Below are 21189 nucleotides of genomic sequence, written 5' to 3'. Positions count from 1 at the left end.
ATGGAATGACAGGAAAATTTTCTTAAATTAGAATTGCTACTTGGGTGAGGTAGTTCATCATCTCCATGTTATTCACTAGCCTATTAATTGAGAAGACAATATATAAGTCAAAGGGACATAAAACCATGTAATCTGTGGTTGTGGAAGATGAGGTAGGAATGGCCCTGTGCAGGCAGAGGCGCCTGTGGCTCACAGGCCAGACTGTGGAGGTTTGGGACCATCCCTCTGTGGGATGGGTGCTGGGCAGCAGTGGACAATGAAGACAATGCAGGTTGTAGGGAAGGCAGGGCCTGGAAGGAAAGGATGCCAAGCTGGGAGAAGACGCCTATTTCCTTCTTATAGCTGTTTCTCAGGCTGGTCTGCTTGGCACTAGGAGAAAACTTGTGTAGTATCAGAGGGTCCTTGAGACAGCTGCTCCTCAGCTGTTGGAAGGAAATTGGGATTTAAATGGCAGAGACTCCAGGGTCTGAGACAGTGAATTGCTGCTTTGGTTGAGACTCTTAAAAGTTGCATATGCTGGCTGGGTACGGTGGTTCATGCCTGTAATCCCAGCACTTTCGGAGGCTGAGGCAGGCGGATCATGGGTTAGGAGATTGAGACCAGCCTGGCTAACATGGTAAAACCCCATCTGTACTAAAAATACAAAAATTAGCTGGGCATGATGGCATGCTTCTGTAATCCCAGCTATTCGGTAGGTAGGCTGAGGCAGGAGAATTGCTTGAACGCAGGAGGCAAAGTTTGCAGTAAGCCAAGATCGAGCCACTGCACTCCAGCCTGGGTGCCAAAGCAAGACTCCATCTCAAAAAAAAAAAAAGTTGCATATGCTTGAATGAGAGATTCATCTCTGATGCAAAAAGTAAATGGGCAAAAGGCAGAAGAAAAGATAAGGTGTGTTTGTGTGTGTGTGTGTAAGTATGTGTGTATGTAGAGTCAGAAGAGAAATGTTAAAAAAATTAGGAATAGGTGGGTGGTTCATTGAACTATAGTATGCTTAATTTGATATTTACTTTCAAATTAAGTAAGAGTGCATTAAAGAGAGTAGTTGTAAGAAAATTGCCCAGAAAATGAGGCTTTCACATAATAGAAGGGATATCAAATGTACTTAGCATAAGTGATAGTATAAAAGTTAGAAAACTCAAAGTATTAAGATATTCCAAAGATGTAGATTAGTGCTTAACAGGTCTGGATTTCTAAAAGATTAGCTCTTTCATGATTCACAGAATTTCTCAACAGTGCATGTCAGTACCTTGTTCCCCATGAGGACTGTTTAAAAAACCCTGTTTAGATTATCCCAAATCCATGAACTCCACAGGACAAACAGAGCATTTATTTTAAGCATGATGGATCAGAAACAGCTAGTTCAAAACACTACTTCCAACCTCTTTCTTCATGAACCAATGTTGAATTTCATTTTAAATAAATATTTATAACTTATATTTTAAACTATTAAATGTAGACAAGAACCCAAATTAGCTCATAAAACAGATACTGTGTCACTTGCCTTCTCTGGGTTGAATGTCTCTACAGATGACCAAAATCAATGTATGGAAGCTCCCCTCTGCTCTTACTCCCAAAAGTTAAGTGCTTTAGGTTTGCTCCCAGACTATCTTGTGAAATGGAAGGGGTGAGAACCATAGAAAGAGACTATCATTAAAAATAAGAATAAAGAGCAGAAGAAATGTTTTTCATCTAAAGACAACCAACTAGATAAAAGTAATAAAAATAAAACATCATTTATGTTTTTAAGGGCAGCTGTTTTCATGACAGAAAGCGCACGTTTTTGGCTTTAAATTTAATACTTTTGTTAAAGAAAAATGAAAGTAATAATGCCCTTTCTCCCTACTGATTTTCCACACAACCTTGTATAGAAAATGAAATTTCTCTTAAGACCAGGGTAATTTTTGAAGTGGGGTTGAATGGGTATGGAAGAGGTGGGGGATACAGCCTTAAGGACTGAGTGTTCACATGCCCACTTCCTTTAAAAACACAGCATTTACATGCAAGGAGCTGAGAGCAGAGCAGCTCGAACATGCTTCCCAGAGCCTCTTTTTACCATGCCTGTAATGTGCATTCATCCTGAGTCCCCTGCAAGCTCAGAGGCTGAATTTGGCACTATCGTCATCACAGGATGGCAGACACTGTTTTGAATCTGCTGCTCTAACATGTGGAGGCTGCCTTTTCTGCCAGCCACCTGGCAAGGAGCAGAGCCAGGCAAAACACACAACTGCCTGTAGGGCTGTGCCTGAACTGTCCTGTTGACAGCCTGACATGTTCACGTTCTGTTGTGCTTTAGATACTGAGGCCAGGCCAGCAAACTGAAACAACTGCACTGCCCACTGACTCTGACTTTGGATAAAATCATCTCAGAGTTTTATTTATGTGTCAGGGATGAGAAGCATGTTTCTATAGTTTCAGGAGTTGCCTGGCAACTGAGTTCTAAGAAACAGTGATAAGAGTCAGAAAGTGCATTTGTATTGTCTTCTCTGTGAAGTGGGCAATGAGAAATCAAATATAACTGTACACTAATCAGTCCAGTCCAGTCCTGATACTCCTAATCCCTCAGTTTTATCCTTCTTGGATAAACTGGGCTGTGGGCTCATAGTAGTTTGGCTAAGATATTCAAAATAGTTATATTTTATAGAAAAAACACAAATATCTAATTTTGTAAGTTTGGGTTGGCACTTAATCATGAAGCTGTACTTACCCTCCTGGGATTCCAAACACTACCAGGGCAAAATCTAAGACATCTTTCTGAATATGTCTGAACGTTTCCCTTTACCCAGTCACACTTTCAGCAGCATCCTTGGTAGTGTAGATCCTGGATTTGAACCAGAGATGCTGAAATGACTGGAGTGTGCATAAGATGCCTGTGGACAGAGTTATGTGACCCTGATTGATGAGGGCAAGGGATATATATTTATCAAGGCTTCATTCCTTTGGATTTCTCTTTTTGCTCATCAAATTTGGTAAATATTGAGGTAGCAAAAAATTATTTTCATAAAGTGGGCCCAGCTTAAGAGGTTATTCTGCTACTTTTCTTTACAGTTTGGCTAATTGTGCCTGTACAAATAACTTAATGATTCCACACATTTCAAAAGTGTCATCAAACATACTAACTTCATGTCTGAATGTATTTATAGAAATCAACTCTGTTTACTGGCCCCAACCTCTCTGTGGTGTCAGCCTTAAGGAAAAATATAGTATACTTGGTGCCCAAACATTTCATCTTCACTTCACTTCATCCAAGAGACCTCTCTTATACTGAAAGGTGGGGAAGGTCTGCTTGGTTGCTAACTCCAAGTATTTTTTTATCTGCAAATTAAGCAGCAGCTCTGCATTAAAATGCTCTTATACCAATAATTAAAATAATTATAACAATTTACTGGTATAAATGGTCTTATACAATTTATAGTCATTTTATAGTCCAGGAACTGGATTTCTATATCATAATTATTTTAAAATTATCACTATACTACCGATAAGAAGAATACCAGCTACCATTTAGTGAGTACTTATTATGTGTCAAGTACTCTGCCAAGTATTTTTCATGGGTTATCTCATATGATCCTCACAAGAAGTCATGAGGCAAGTCCATTATCTCCTTTCTGCAAATGAGGAGGCTGAGTTGTACACAAACTGGCTAATTTCCCTAGTATTCCTTGGTGAGAAAGTGCAGAACTACACTGAAGTGCAGGTTTGTTAGCCCTGAGCTCATACCCTTAACTGCTGGCTGCATCTTCCTTCCCTATTCCAGCTCTTCGGTTGGATAGACAATGTCATCCTCTGACTAACGAACACCTTGAGCCAAGGATAAAGGGTCCTCACTAACCCTGCATCTTGGCTTAGGCCTTCTCTGGGGGTTGGGTGGAAAACAGGAGATAATGAAGTGTTTAAGCCTAAAATGTAAAAAAGGGAAAAATATACACAGTGAGAGTAAACAAAAATGAAAATAATGCCAGGTGAAGGGGAAGAAATAAACAACTTGGATGGTACCTATATTGAGAGGTCTTTGTTTCACCCTTCCTCTGTTATTTTAGAGGGTCACTGGTAAAAATGAAAAAGTACTACAGTCTTTTACTGAATATATTTAAGAGAAGGAGTGTATTATCTGGTTAGAAACAAAGCTACATCTTTTAAAGCATATATCTTTTCAAAAACACCTACAGCTTTCCACCACAAATAAAGTAAAATTCAAAGCCTTGCCCTTGCCTATGAGGTTTGGCATGGTCAGTCCCTAAGTAACTCTCTGATCCCTTCCCATATCACTCTCCTCACTTTCAATCTTGTGCCTTCAGTGCTGGCCTTTTTCATCCCTCAAATATGCCAAGACTGCCTCAGGGACTTTGTACTTGCAATTTCCTCTGCCTGCATAGCCTTTCCCCCAGATACTCACGTGGCCTGTCCCGTTTCACTTATGTCTCTGGTCTAGGACACCACAATAGAGAGGCCTCCTAGGACCACGCATTTCAGCATCATTCAAGCCTTTTACACACACTCTCATCCACATGCACATGCCCACGTGTATCCATACATGCTCTCACTCACACTTTGACACACTCTCACACATTCTCATGCACATACACAAACTCCCACACACTGCTGATATGCTGCTTTCTGGCTTTATTTTTCTTAATAACCTATATTACTAGCTGACATTTAATTCAATTTTTATTGCCTGTCTCCCTGCATTGGAAGGAAATCTCCATGAGACCAGGGATTTTGTCTTTTGTAATCACTGCTATATCTCCAGGGCCTAAAATAGTACTCAGCACATAGGATGGGCTTGATTAATATTTTTTTCAATAAATGAGTGAATGAATATTCATTGATTGCATAAATCACAACAAATCACTTCCATTCCCACAGTACATCTGACTCAGTGTACTTTAGTAGGTACATCCATGGAGAGGAAAATCAGAAAGGCATGATGGTGGCACCTTCTGGTATAGAACAGCTGTATGGGTCCTAGGTTCTTTGTACCATGATGAACCTCATCTGTCCAGTGGCATGAAAAAGTCTCTCGCTCAGGTGAACGGCACTTGGTGAATTTAGGCTCCTTAGAAGAATCTGCAGAATAAAAAGAAAAGGCAAGGCATGAAATCAGGTGAGTCATATGTGATCCTAATGAGACACGTATCTAAAGTGTGTGAAGAAACTACTGGGATGAAGCCAGTGTATTCCGTGTCTAGGAGGTAATGCCGATGTCTTCCAGAAAAGCATTTTTCCTGGGTCATAGTTTTAGTGCCTGTTGCTTGCCATTGTCAGCCTTTGATTCTAGACACAAACCATTTTGCCTTTTATTTCAAGCATTTCATAGGACCTGTTTAAGAAACCAGAGCTAGAGATTAGGATTTGGATATAGGTAGTTCATCTGGAAGATGACTTCTGGATCTAGCAGTCAGGGAATGGGGAGGGTGGGAAGGAAAGGGAGAACAACTAATATGTGTGTGTTCTGAGCTGGTTATCACAGTGGCTAATGGGGCCCAATCCCTCTGAGGCTCCTTTGAGAAGCTGTGTAGAATATGCACCACCACTGTTGTGTAGAAAGATGAGAGGCTAGGATATTTATCTACCGCTCCCAGTACTCACTGGTTGAAGGGTGCCTCAGAGATGTTCACCCCCATGCACTTCTAGGCTGTACCTGCACATGAGCTGAGGGTCTTTGCCGAGGCAGGCACCTGAGTCTGCCCGGCAGGGTGCATAGTGGCAAATGGACACCATAGACAGTTGTGATGACATCAGGTGGATGTGGGGGATGTAGTGTGGGAACCACAGCATGCACTACAGGGCCTTTTATCTTTTCATTGATTTTTGATAAAAGGCACTTATGTTTGCATTCTTTTAAAAGATTCAGCCAGTAAACTCATTAAATAGATGCCCACTCTAAACAACTTATACATACTCATGTGTTAATTCTAATTTGAGAAGTAAGTGCAGAATGCCTCTCATGTGTTAGGAATTTAGCCAAAATTCCTCTGCATCTATGAAATGTATAGATGTGCAACAGACAGGTATGAAGCAAAACACATTTTTGTGTATGAATTCTCAGTGTTCTGATGTCCATGGCCATTTTGGAGATTTCTTTTCAAATTTCTCTTCTTTTTCTTATTTTTTTCTCCTTATATGATTAGCCTTCAATCATATTGTAAACTTAATCTAAAACTCTCATTCCTGGGTTATCAGGGAGGCTCTCAATCTTAAAGTATCTTTGTCAATACTTTGAAAGATCTCTTAAAAATAAATAATATGAAGCAAATGCATAAAAACTCATGATTCCAAATTCCAGGTTACATACCTGATGTTATGAACCAAAAACAGGCTTCTTTTTTCCTCTGGCAACAAACTCATAAGGCATGGGATGTTATAAACCTTCTAAACAAATCCATCATTCAAATTCATTCAACAAACATTATTAAACGCAAATTTTGTACCAGGCTGTGTTCTAGGAATAGAGAAATGAACAAGTTGATAAAAGTTGGTCCTTGTCTAGTTTCCATTCTAGCAAAAGCAGGGATGTGGGGATCCTATGTAGAAAAATAAGCTGGGTCAGGTAGCGTGATGCCTTCAGCTTTGTTCTTTTTGCTTACGATTATCTTGGCTATGCAGGCTCATTTTTGGTTCCATATGAAATCTAAAGTAGTTTTTTTCCAATTCTGTGAAGAAAGTCAATGGTAGTTTGATGGGGATAGCATTGAATCTATAAATTACTTTGGGCAATATGGCCATTTTCATGATATTGATTCTTCCTATCCATGAGGATGTTTTTCCATTTGTTTGTGTCCTCTCTTATTTCCTTGAGCAGTGGTTTGTAGTTCTCCTTGAAGAGGTCCTTCACATCCTTTGTAAGTTGTATTCCTAGGTATTTTATTCTCTTTGTAGCAATTGTGAATGGGAGTTTGCTCGTGATTTGGCTCTCTGTCTGTTACTGGTGTATAGGAATGCTTGTGATTTTTGCACTTTGATTTCGTATCCTGAGACTTTGCTGAAGTTGCTTATCAGCTTAAGGAGATTTTGGGCTGAGACGATGGGGTTTTCTAAATATACAATCATGTCATCTGCAAACAGAGACAATTGAATTTCCTCTTTTCCTAATTGAATACCCTTTATTTCTTTCTCTTGCCTGACTGCCCTCGCCAGAGTTTTGAATAATATGTTGAAAAGGAATGGTGAGAGAGGGCATTCTTTTCTTATGCCGGTTTTCAAAGGGAATGCTTCTAGCTTTTGCCCATTCAGTATGATATTGGCTGTGGGTTTGTCAAAAATAGCTCTTATTATTTTGAGATACATTCCATGAATACCTAGTTAATTGAGAGTTTTTAGCATGAAAGGCTGTTGAATTTTGTCGAAGGCTTTTTCTGCATCTATTGAGATAATCATGTGGTTTTGTCACTGGTTCTGTTTCTGTGATGGATTACGTTTATTGATTTGTGTATGTTGAACCAGCCTTGCATTCCAGGGATGAAGCCGACTTGATCGGGGTGGATAAGCTTTTTGATGTGCTGCTGGATTAGGTTTGCCAGTATTTTATTGAGGATTTTTGCATCAGTGTTCATCAGGGATATTGGTCTAAAATTTTCTTTTTTTATTGTGTCTCTGACTTCATACTACAAGGCTACAGTAACAAAGACAGCATGGTACTGGTACCAAATAAGATATATAGACCAATGGAACAGAACAGAGGCCTCAGAAATAACACCACACATCCACAACCATTTGATCTTTGACAAACCTGACAAAAACAAGCAATGGGGAAAGGATTCCCTGTTTAATAAATGGTGTTGGGAAAACTGGCTAGCCATACGCAGAAAGCTGAAGCTGGATCCCTTCCTTTCATCTTATACAAAAATTAACTCAAGATGGATTAAAGACTTAAACGTAAGACCCAAAACCATAAAAACCCTAGAAGAAAACCTAGGCAATACCATTCAGGAAATAGGCATGAGCAAAGACTTCATGACTAAGACACCAAAAGCAATAGCAACAAAAGCCAAAATTGACAAATGGGATCTAATTAAACTAAAGAGCTTCTGCACAGCAAAAGAAACTACCAGCAGAGTGAACAGGCAACCTACAGAATGGGGGAATATTTTTGCAATCTGCCCATCTGACAAAGGGCTAATATCCAGAATCTACAAAGAACTTCAATAAATTTACAAGAAAAAAAACAACCCCATCAAAAAGTGGGCAAAGGATATAAACAGACACTTCTCAAAAGAAGACATTTATGCAGCCAACAGACACATGAAAAAATGCTCGTCATCACCGGTCATCAGAGAAATGCAAATCAAAACCACAATGAGATACCATTTCACACCAGTTAGAATGGCGATCATTAAAAAGTCAGGAAAAAACAGATGCTGGAGAGGATGTGGAGAAATAGGAACGCTTTTACACTGTTGGTGGGAGTGTAAATTAGTTCAACCATTGTGGAAGACAGTGTGGCAATTCCTCAAGGATCTAGAACTAGAAATACCATTTGACCCAGCAATCCCATCACTGGGTATATACCCAAAGGATTATAAATCATTCTACTATAAAGACACTTGCACATGTATGTTTATTGCAGCACTGTTCACAATAGCAAGGACTTGGAACCAACCCAAATGCCCATCAGTGATAGACTGGTTAAAGAAAATGTTGCATATATGCACCATGGAATACTACTCAGCCATAAAAAAGGATGAGTTCATGTTCTTTGCAGGGACATGGATGAAGCTGCAAACCATCATCCTCAGCAAACTAACACAAGAACAGAAAACCAAACACCACATGTTCTCACTTATAAGTGGGAGTTGAACAATGAGAACACACATACACAGGGAGGGGAACTTTACACACTGGGGCCTGTTGAGGGCTGTGGGGCTGGGGGAGGGATAACATTAGGAGAAATACCTAATATAGATGACGGGTTGGTGGGTGCAGCAAACCACCATGGCACATGTATACCTATGTAACAAACCTGCACGTTCTGCACATGTACCCCAGAACTTAAAGTATAATAATAATAATAATAAAAAGAAAAATAAGCAGGGTAAGAAGAAAGGAACTGCATCCTTGTTTGAGAACAACTGTTGCCCTCAATAGTACAAACAAGTGAATCTTCAGAAAATCCTGAGTTGCAAATATGTCTTTAGCCCTGGGAGCACAGGTTGGGGATAGCAGGAGTGTTTTTGTAATCAAATTCCACGGTCATATTGTTGTAAGAAATACTCATTTTCCTGTATGAATGGAGAAATTTACAAGAGTTTTAGGGCATGGATGGGATGTGCCTTGGTACTGAGGGCAGATGGGCAGCTCTCTCTATGTGGTCAGTGTTTACCAACCCCTCTCAGAACACTGAGGTGTACGAGCCCACATTATCTGTTACAAATGAGTACAGTGAAAAAGATGTGTATTTCGTTAGGCAAGCACCTCTCATACAGTAAAGCACTGAAAATATTCCTTTTTACTATTAGTTGAAGCACTGAAAACAAACACTATTTTAGGTCCTTCTACAAAGTTAGTAATTATTAAAACTAAATATTTAAACCACAACTGTTTTAATGCTGGTATATCTGAGGAGACTATTTCACATTCTAACTGTTCGTTTGCACAGAAATAAGAAAAGGAAATGCACTAGATTAGAAATTGAGAGATGTGTACTCTAGTTCTGGCTCTGACACTATTTAACGTTGACCTTCCCAAGCCATTTGGTCTTGATTTCCTTAGTAGAATGCCTGGAATAGATGAGACACAAAGTACTTTACAATTTTACAGCTTCGCTTTTACAATTAAGAGGCATATATAATTATGAACAATAACGTACACAACAAAAACATAATTTTGGCATTTGAATTGAAACAACAATAGAACACCAAATACAAATGTCAATCAGGTTCCTATATTCTCTGTAAAATATGCCTGTTACATAATAGCAAGAATAATAAACTCAACTTCAAAACTTGAAACAGAAAGAAATAAAAAACTTTGTCAGCTGAAACAAAAAAAAAAACTTAAAAAGAAAAAATAACTAATCTGAAACACATTTTGATTACTTAAACTTAGTATTCTTAGATTTATTGTTTCCTTTTAACTCCAGATGCATAGAAAGTCCTTATTACCTTCTCATTGTAAATAAGAAATAGGAAATTTATGGGTGTGGTGCTGATGTGATGACGTGTGTGTCTGCACATGGAACTCCGATACAGATGTTGTGCAGCAGAGCTGTTTTGTTCTTGTCTTTTTAAATGTCTTTCTTTCCCTTCCTTTCTTCCCTTCCACCTTCCTCTTTTCTTTATTTTACCCTGCACCCTCCTTCTCTCTTTCCGGCTTTTTTAAATTTTATGGCTGGGTATGTGCTGTTAAGTGCTGTGGCAGACAGCCCCTAAAGTAGCCTCCAATGATTCCTGTCTTCTCTCATTCACAGCCTTATGTATTTCCTTCCCTTGAGTAACTTGCTTCTAATCAGAAGAATATGGCAGCATGGAGTGGATGGCAGTTCTATGATTAGGTTACAAAAGATTGAGACTTCTTTTTAACTAGCAGACTCACCCTTTTGCTGGTTTTGATGAAGTACGTTGCTGTGTGGTGAGAACCATACAGCAGAGAACTAAGCATGGCCTCTGGCCAACACTCAGCAAGAAGTAGAGGCCCTCAGTATAAAAACCCTTGAGGAACTGGCTGGGCGCGGTGGCTCATGCCTGTAATCCCAGCACTTTGGGAGGCTGAGGTAGGTGGATCATGAGGTCACGAGATCGAGACCAGCCTGACCAACATGGTGAAATCCCATCTCTACTAAAAATAGAAAAATTAGCTGGGCATGGTGGCATGCACCTGTAATCCCAGCTACCTGGGAGGCTGAGGCAGGAGAATTGCTTGAACCTGGGAAGCGGAGTTTGCAGTGAGCCAAGATTGCGCCACTGCACTCCAGTCTGGTGATGGAGCAAGACTCCATCTCAAAAAAAAATATATAAAAATAAAAAAAACCTTTGAGGAACTGAATCCTGCCAACAACAATGTAAATAAGCATGGGAACCAATCTTTCCCTATCCAGCCTTCAGATGAGACCACAGCCCTGGCTGACACTTTGATTGCAGTCTTATAAGATAGCTTGAAGCACAGGACACAGCTGGTGGGTTACTTTGGAAAAAGTGTGAGAGGTATATTAACTTTACTAAATATTTGAATGCTATTAATACAGAGTAAATGAATTTAATATATCAGAACTTAAAAGTAGTGCTCAAGAATGACACAAGCCACTTTTCTTAGCAAATGGAATGTATCACAGTGAGTGTGAGAAAGTGGGTGACTCCTCTTTTGGAGGCAAGAAGAACTATATTGTGCCTGGCCGTTTAGTTTCTCCTTAATCACATCCTGTCACATCTAGTACCATTGTGCCGCTGTGGCTGAAGACACTCAGCATTCCTAAAGTCCAACTCCTTAGTGTCATCTTAAGGCTTTCTAAATCTGAGAGGAACTACCATAATCTTAAAATGAACACCTTTCTCACTATGTCTAAAAATCCTATTAGAATCTTACTTTTACTACGAAGACAACAAATGACTACTATAGACTCTTAGGTCTTCTCTGATTAGCCAGGAACAGAAAATCATTTCTGAACTAGTAATATTTCTTGCTTTCTTATGATTTTTAAAGATTAAATCTAAAAATAGTATAGTTCAACATCCATTTATAGCACCTCTGAAAGGAATGTTGCAATTAACAAGAGAGCCTAACTTTGCCCCTAAGTGAATTATCACTAAGAACAATGAGTTAAGTTGGAACACACATGTGGTGTTTGGTTTTCTGCTCTTGTGATCGTTTGCTGAGAATGATGGTTTCCAGCTTCATCCATGTCCCTGCAAAGGACGTGAACTCATCCTTTTTTATGGCTGCATAGTATTCCATGGTGTATATGTGCCACACTTTCTTTATCCAGTCTATCACTGATGGACATTTGGGTTGGTTCCAAGTCTTTGCTATTGTGAATAGTGCTGCAGTAAACGTACGTGTGCATATGTCTTTTTTTTTTTTTTTTTTTTTGAGACGGAGTCTTGCCCTTTTGCCCAGGCTGGACTGCAGTGGCGCTATCTCGGCTCACTGCAAGCTCCGCCTCCCGGGTTCATGCCATTCTCCTGCCTCAGCCTCCCGAGTAGCTGGGACTACAGGCGCCCGCCACTGCGCCTGCCTAATTTTTTGTATTTTTAGTAGAGATGGGGTTTCACCATGTTAGCCAGGATGGTCTCGATCTCCTGAACTTGTGATCTGCCTGCCTCAGCCTCCCAAAGTGCTGGGATTACAGGCATGAGCCACCACGCCCGGCCGCATGTGTATTTATAGTAGCATGATTTATAATCCTTTGGGTATATACCCAGTAATGGGATCACTGGGTCATATGGTATTTCTAGTTCTAGATCCTTGAGGAATTGCCACACTGTCTTCCACAATGGTTGAACTAATTTACACTCCCACCAACAGTGTAAAAGCGTTCCTATTTCTCCACATCCTCTCCAGCATCTGTTGTTTCCTGACTTTTTAACGATCGCCATTCTAACTGGTGTGAAATGGTATCTCATTGTGGTTTTGATTTGCATTTCTCTGATGACCAGTGATGATGAGCATTTTTTCATGTGTCTGTTGGCTGCATAAATGTCTTCTTTTGAGAAGTGTCTGTTTATATCCTTTGCCCACTTTTTGATGGTTTTTTTTTTTTCTTGTAAATTTATTGAAGTTCTTTGTAGATTCTGGATATTAGCCCTTTGTCAGATGGGCGGATTGCAAAAATTTTCTCCCATTCTGTAGGTTGCCTGTTCACTCTGCTGGTAGTTTCTTTTGCTGTGCAGAAGCTCTTTAGTTTAATTAGATCCCATTTGCCAATTTTGGCTTTTGTTGCCATTGTTTTTGGTGTTTTAGTCATGAAGTCTTTGCCCATGCCTATTTCCTGAATGGTATTGCCTAGGTTTTCTTCTAGGGTTTTTATGGTTTTAGGCCTAACATTTAAGTCTTTAATCCATCTTGAATTAATTTTTAATGGGTGCAGCAAACCAACATGGCACATGTATGCCTATGTAACAAATCTGCACGTTGTGCACATGCATGCCAGAACAAAGTATAATAAAAAAAAATAATAATAATAGAAAGACATTAAGCATTCAATCAAAAAATCATGTTTGGGGCTGGGAGCAGTGGCTCACACCTGTAATTCCAGCACTTTGGGAGGCTGAGGCGGGTGGATTACCTGAGGCCAGGAGTTCGAGGCCAGCCTGTCCAACATAGTGAAACTCCGTCTCTACTAAAAATACAAAAATTAGCCAGGTCTGGTGGGGCATACCTGTAATCCCAGCTACTCAGAGAGGCTGAGGCACAAGAATCACTTGAACCTGGGAGTCGGAAGTTGCAGTGAGCTGAGATCGTGTCACTGCACCCCAGCCTGGGTGACATAGTGAGACTCTGTCTAAAAAAAAAAGTGTTTTGCAATGTTTATAATTAATTTATCTTAATAAAATTTCATGGAATTAAAAAAAAAAGAAAAAAAAAGAAAAGCACATTGGATCAAATGACTTTTGGCCCGTTATGGTGGATATGGGTTCTGCTAAGCAATCTGCATATGCAGTCAAACAAGGGTCAGTTTTAGAAGAGAAGAATGGTTACAGCATGCTCAGTCACCCTGATCTGGATAAAGAATGGCTATTATTGAACATAAGCCAAAGTGAGGAAATACTTATTGTCAGCCGAAATCACTTTCATATGTTCTGAGGACTGCATAAGCACGTTGGCCAGGCCAACTGTGGTGAAACCATAATGTTCCTTTCACAAATAATAAACAAGAGATGGTGATTGCAGTAGAACAAGTCTACTTCTTGGACTATGCCTGCATAGGCTTTGGGTAAAATCTTTGTGTGACTGGCCTAAATGTATCAGTTATTTAAAAACACCTTTGTATTTAGCCTTTATATTTGGTTAAGGCGATGTTACAGAATGAGACATGCATGATCTTCAAAGGTTTGATGAGCAAAGAAGATGTGAATATGTAATTCTTCCATGAGTGAAAGAAGTTACTGCATTCAACATCATTATTTTTCCAAGTCCCCTTCTTAAGCAGGAACAGAATAACAATATGACAGCAACTACGGCTTCTTTGGGGTCTCTGTCCTACACATTTTATATGTAATATAAAAAGTGTTCATTCTCAAAACTAGAATGAGTTAGGTACTATTATTCTCACTACTGAATAGATGACACTGAGGCATAGAGAAGTAAAATAACTGGCCCAAAGTCACTTGGTTATTAAGTGGCACAGCCATGATTCCAACTCAACAGCTGTGCTTCAGAATTTGTATTCTTTTTTTTTTTTTGAGATGCAGTCTCGCTCTGTCGCCAGGCTGGAATGCAGTGCCATGATCTCGGCTCACTGCAACCTCCACCTCCTGGGTTCAAGTGATTCTCCTGCCTCAGCCTCCTGCATAGCTGGGACTACAGGTGCGTGCCACCGTGCCCAGCTAATTTTTATATTTTTAGTAGAGACAATGTTTCACCATGTTGGCCAGGATGGTCTCAATCTCTTGACCTCGGGATCCACCCACCTCGGCCTCCCAAAGTGTTGGGATTACAGGTGTGAGCCACCATGCCCAGCCCAAAATTTGTATTCTTAACCACTGCACTGGTGGCTTTCAAAGTTTTTGAAAGTGACTTTCAGGAAAATTATTTATATGTATATGTAAATTTTAAGTATAAATTTAAGTATATTAAAATATATTTAAAATATTAATAATAGTATGTTATTAATATATAATATACAATATATAATATATTAATTAATATATAATATACAATATATAATATATTAATTAATATATAATATATTATAATAATATATTAATACATACTAATATTAGTATAATATATTACTAATTAATATATTGTTTACATATTGTTAATATAAATTAATATAAGTTAATATGAATTAATATGTTATTAATTCATATTAATTATATTATTAATATAAATATATATTTACATTTAAACTTTAGATATATAAATATATTTTAAATGTTTTAAAATGTTCTCACATACTTATTTATATGATAGATATACACACGCACATGTAAAATAAAATGTCTCAAAATTACTGCCTGCAATGAATTCTGATTTCAGTTTATAAATGATGCTGCTTGCAACCCTATAAATTGATTTACTAATACAGGTCACTACTTTCAGTTTGAGAAACATTGTTCATGAAGCTAATCTTGCCTCGATGAAAGTTGAAAATTAATAAAATTGTTGGTCTATAATTCCCTCAAAGAAAGGCAAGAATGTTTCCTTTGTCTGGCATAGATTATGAGATGCTCAACAGAACTGTATTGTCTAGCTAACTGAAAGTTACTCCTGAAATTATTTTTCCTAAGACATATTATAAGATTCTCTGAATCATTAATGAAACCTGTTAAACATCATTTAACGTTTTTTTATGACAGCATGGCGATCAGGGATTATCCTAGTGAATTACGGTGTACCTATGTGCAGGGCTGCTGGGAGAGACTGGCCTTTTACCCCTACACTAAGTAGATTCACCACTGTGATGGTGATATTCATTCTCTCACTGCAGCTTAGTATGATTCACACATAATTCATTTCTGGGAATGACATTATTTATTAAAAACAATAATTCTTTATCTTGAGAGTTGCCATGACAATTGAAAGAAGCTACCAGGAAATTACTTTTGATAATACTGGGTAGAGGCTGAGAGTGCTGATTTTGGTGCCAGACTGCTGAGTTCAAATCCTACCTCAATCACATACAATCTGTAATCTTGGGCAAATTACTTAACTTCTTCAGTTTCCTCACCTGTAAAATGGGGATAATAATGGTATGTCACAGGGTTATTGTAAAGATTAAGTGAGCTAATCTATGTAAAGTTCTTAGAAAAGTGCCTGGTATAGAGTAAGCATTATATAAATGCTCATTGTTATTATTTCCATCCTCACAATCAGTTGTGATTGTCAACCTATGATTTGTTAACTGTTGTTACCTAGGAAGAGCAAATGATGAACATTGCTAATTTGAAATTTCATCCTGTAACTATAAGTTCATTAGTACTAGTTGAAACATGTAATTATAAGTATATCGGTACTAGATGAAACATCCAAAGTATAGGTGTCCAATCTTTTGGCTTTCCTGGGCTACACTGGAAGAAGAGACTTGTCTTGAGCAACACAAAAAATATACTAACACTAACGATAGCTGATGAACAAGTTGCAAAAAAATTTCATAATGTTTTAAGAAGGTTTACGAGTTTGTCTTGGGCTGCATTCAAAGCTGTACTGAACTACTTGCAGTCTGTTGGTTGCGGGTTGAGAGGTTCAAGCTTGGAGTAGGTGGTGATACTGTGGCAGCTATTTCCCTCACTGTTCAGAGGTGATTTTCTGTGGTTGTATTCTAGACAGTCACAGCTATCAAAGCCTGAGTTCTAGATAACTAGGAGATGTTGCTATATTATTACATATTAGTGTTAAATTAAAAAAATCCAAGCAGAGCCTTTGTCTATGTTTTCCTGAGAAACAATGAAAAGAGAATGCTGCAATTCTGTGATGACACTCGTAAGGGTAGAGAATTACCACACTCACGCAGATACTGTGTGGCTGGCTCTCAAAGGATTTGTGGATTCAGGATGCTACTTGATACTTTTCCCTAGTGACCTGGGCACTCTGAAGTCATAGCAAAAAGCTTTATTGATATATTGGCAATACTCTTTTCAGAAAAAATATAAAGGAAGAGTAATGAAGTGGAGTTTGGGGAGTTTTGAGTTCTCTCACTAATAGCCTATCCAACTCTTCCAGCATTCTGAGCCAAAACTACCCGGAATGGAATGGGCTGAGTAGTTGAATTGTATTTTTTTTTTAATTTTACTTTTTTCTTTATTTTATTTTAAAGAAAATTCAACCTAAATTTTTGCTGGGTGCTTCCTTGGGACTGGATTCTGTGCTGAGAAGTACTGAGCTTACTGAGTTTTACGCAGTTCCTGGCCCCCAGCAGGCTTACATAAACACTTAGGTTGAGAGGAAGGAACCCCTTACCCAGCTAGCTGGAGTCCTCCTCTTGAATCTCTGCTTTGGGACCAAGCAGCCTTCTCCAAAGTACTCTTGTCATATCCCAAGTGCTATTTTGTTTGAAGAGCTTCAGGAATTCAGTAATTCCTCCAATTAAAAGTACCTTAAGCCCCCTTTTAATAAAGGTCCTGTCCTGAGTGGATGCTGCTAGTATATCAAAATATGGTAAAAGAGATCTGTAATTTCTTTTGGCTTGTCTTTATTGTTAAAAGTAACTGAACTTCCCTATAAATAATGCATTGTCAAAGAGGCCATCTGAAAAAGACTGGTAGACTTTTTTTTTAACCTATGGTGTTATCAAGTGGTTATGAAACTGCAAACACTCCATTCCAAAAATAGTATAGGCTACTGGCAGGAAGGCTTTAAATAATGATGGCAACTGACAAAAAATTTAATAAAATATTTTCTTTTTGGACAATACTGAACATAAGAAATTCACATTTATATTTGATTTTCCTCATGATTCTCTGTAGAATTAAGAAGGTACAGCTCGTTGTAAAGTCTTCTATTTAAGCACTTACTAGCTTAGAGTTGAGAATAAAAATTCACAAGTTCTCACCTGAACTATTAATTTCTTCCTTTTTTTTTTATATGGAGTCTCGCTCTGTCACCAAGTTGGAGTGCAGTGGTGAGATCTTGGCTCACTGCAACCTCCGCCTCCCAGGTTCAAGCGATTCTCCTGCCTCAGCCTCCTGAGTAGCTGGGACTACAGGCGTGTGCCACCATGCCCAGGTAATTTTTGTATTTTTAGTAGAGACTGGGTTTCACCATTTTGGCCAGGAGGGTCTCGATCTCCTGACCTCATGATCTTCCCGCCTTGGCCTCCCAAAGTGCTGGGATTACAGGCGTGAGCCACCATACCCAGCCAATTTCTTCCTTTTTTATAATTTTAAATTAAACTCTAGTAAACTTTAAATAATGAATTGCTGGTACATTAAAGAAAATTGTAGGATTGACCCAAATAAAGGCACAGTCTACATTTCCAGTTACCATAAGATGAATCTCAAGTCAACTGAGCTCTGTAGTGTCTGGGAAAAGTATTTATTTATAGTACTGTGGTTTGGCAGGTGAGGTTATGTGGTCACAGCCTATATAGATAGCTCATTTGTATAGCAGTGTCAGTAGATAATTGCACATATACTACTATTGGCATTTATCATTTAAACCTTCACCAAACTTTCTTTTTGTTGTTTTATTTTCATGGAACACTTTCTTCATAAAATGTATTGTATAACTTCCCTTAATGCTGGTGGTTGAATACAATTTATCCTGGTTTTCAGCACTCAAATCTTCCTTCTCCTCTTTCCTTTCGCTTTCACAAGATTTACTTGGTGCAGTTAGTTTATTGCCTTTCAAATTATTTCATTTAATCATCTTAGAAAGAGTGATCATACACTCCTCTGTCTTATTTAAAATTTTCTCTCTTCTTCTTGATGTCTAGCTCTTTATCCATTAATTCTTTTAAAAGCATACTGACTCGTAATGAGACCTCTAAGATAGAAAGGTGGGGACACTATTCTGTCAGTGATCTTTTCTCTGGATAGAGAGGGGGATATGCCAAGGCAGATACAGCAACAAGATTTTAATAATGTTGCCTTTTGGAAGATGGAAACAGGAACATGACCTCAAAGACCTATAACTTACTACCCTGAAGAAGAACTGACTTAGGAAATAGAATTGCTATGATTTCACTGTTTTAAAAAAGTGTATTCTGCATAAGCAGTGTTTTGAGATGTCAAAGACAATTATACTGAATGACTATGCAAAAACAATTAGCACTAAATTCAGTCAAGTTTATTTTCTGGTTGGTTAGGGTAAAAGGCATCTTAGATAATTAAATTAAATAATTAAATAATTAAAATAGAAAGCAAGAGGATGTGAAGTAATAGAAACCCTCACACACTTCTGTTCAGAATGTAAAATGGTATAGCTACTGGGGAAAGCAATTTGGGGGTTCCTCAAAATGTTAAATACAGAGTTACCATATGACCCTGCAATTCTGCTCCTAGGTATATGCCCAGAGAAGCAAACACATATGATCACACAAAAACATGTGCAAGAATGCTCATAACAGCATTATTTAAAATAACAGAAAAGTAGAAACAACTCAAAGGTCCATCAACTGATGAGTGGATAAAAAAGATGTGGTATAATCCTATAATAAAGTATTGTCTTAAAAAGGAATAAAATACTGATACATGCTACAACACGAATGACCTTGAAAATATGTTGCTATGTGATAGAAGTCAGACATAAAAGGCCACATATTATAGTATCTGATTTACATGAAATGTTAAGAATAGTCACATACAGAGAGACAGAAAAGTAGATTAGTGGTTGCCAGGAAATGAGGTGAATGGGAAACTGGGAGTGACTACTAATGGGTACAGGGTTCCATGAGGAAGTAATGAAAATGTTCTAGAGTTAGATAGTAGTGATTGTTGCACAACATTGTGAATATACCAAAAACCACTTTGAGATTAAAAAGGTGGATTTTATGCTATTTGGGTTTTATCTCAATAAAAAAACTATCTAAAACATACAAAGCAAAAAATCACACTTAACACTAAAATTGACAAAATATAATTTTAGTTTTCTTTTTAGCCTCTATTGGACAGTCACTTTTTCAGTTTAAAAATCACAGCTCATTAATTTTGGCCTGTCACTGTCACAAAAACAGGAATTTGTAACTCACTGTAAAAAAGACACTACTGGATCCTTGGCAATATGAAAATATTATAAATGAAACTTAGCTGAAGCACTTGTAAGTGGGGTTGTCAGGTTCTCTTTAATGAGACCATCAAAATTCCTGAAACTTAGTAGCTGGCAGAAGGTCTACAGACAGAAATAATTATTTAAAATAATTATTGAATGTTAGAGTCACCTGGAAAATTAAAAAACACGCTGATGACTAGTTTCTATCCTTTTAAAAATTGTAATTTCAACTTTTATTTTAGATTCAGGGAACAAATGTGCAGGTTTGTTACCTGGGTATATCACACGATGCTGAGGTTTGGGGTATGATTGATCCCATCACCCAGGGAATGAGCATAGTACCTAATAGTTTTTTAGTCCTCTCTCTGCTCCCTACCTCCCTACTCTGTTAGTCCCCAGTTTCTATTGTTGCCACCTTTATATCCATGTTTACCCAATGTTTAGCTCCCACTTATAAGTAAAAACATGCAGTATTTGGTTTTCTGTTCCTGTATTACCTCACTTAGTATAATGGCCTCCAGCTGCATCCATGTTGCTGCAAAGGACATGATTTCATTCTTTTTTATTGCTGTGTAGTATCCCATGGTGGACATGTACCACATTTTTTAATCCAATCCACCTTTGTTGGGCACCTAGGTTGATTCCATGTCTTTGCTATTGCGAACAGTGTTGTAATGAACATGTGAGTGTATGTGTCTTTTGGGTAGAACAATATCCAAAAGAAACAATGTACTTTCTTTTGGATATATACCCAGTGGGATTGCTGGGTTGAATGGTAACTCTGTTTCAAGTTCTTTGAGAAATCTCCAAACTGCTTTTCACAGTGGCTGAACTAACTTACATTCCCAGCAACCGTGTATGAGCGTTCACTTTTTTTTCTGCAGCCTTGCCAGCGTCTGTTGTTTTTGACTTTTTGATAATAGCTATTCTGACTGGTGTGATATAGCATATTATTGTGGTTTTGATTTGCATTTCTCTGATGATTAGTGATGTGAGACATTTTTTCATGTTTGTTAGCTGTTTATATGCCTTCTTTTGAGAACTGTCTGTTCATGCTGCTTGCCCATTTTTAAATGGGGTTGTTTTTTGTTTGCTCAATTGTTTAAGTTCCTAACAGACGCCAGATATTAGATCTTGGTTGGAAGCACAGTTTGTGAAGATTTTCACCCATTCTGTAGGCTGTTTACTCTGTTGCTGGTTTCTTTTTCTTAAACTAAGAGCTTCTACACAGAAAAACTTGTCAGTTTTTGTTTTTGTTGAAATTGCTTTTGAGAACTCAGTCATAAATTCTTTTCCAAGGCTGATGTCCAGAATGGTGTTTCCTAGGTTTTCTTATAGGATTCTTATAGTTTGAGATATTACATTTGAATATTACATTCTTATAGTTTG

General features: G+C 38.1%; 1 protein-coding gene across 11 annotated transcripts in view; it reads right to left on the bottom strand.

Annotated features, from left to right (window-relative positions):
• The window catches only part of GHR (growth hormone receptor), a 298440-nt gene that overhangs the window by 27922 nt on the left and 249329 nt on the right, over window positions 1–21189 (bottom strand). For all 11 annotated transcript variants that reach the window (NM_000163.5, NM_001242460.2, NM_001242400.2 and 8 more), the window contains one exon: window positions 4938–5067. In NM_000163.5, the coding sequence (NP_000154.1) occupies window positions 4938–5067 (130 nt within the window). The remainder of the gene's footprint in view (window positions 1–4937; window positions 5068–21189) is intronic.

The sequence above is a fragment of the Homo sapiens genome, chromosome 5 (genome assembly GCF_000001405.40).
Source record: "Homo sapiens chromosome 5, GRCh38.p14 Primary Assembly".
Taxonomy (NCBI): Eukaryota; Metazoa; Chordata; class Mammalia; order Primates; family Hominidae; genus Homo; species Homo sapiens.
Note: the sequence above shows the minus strand (reverse complement) of the source record. Positions and strands in the feature narration are given on the sequence as shown.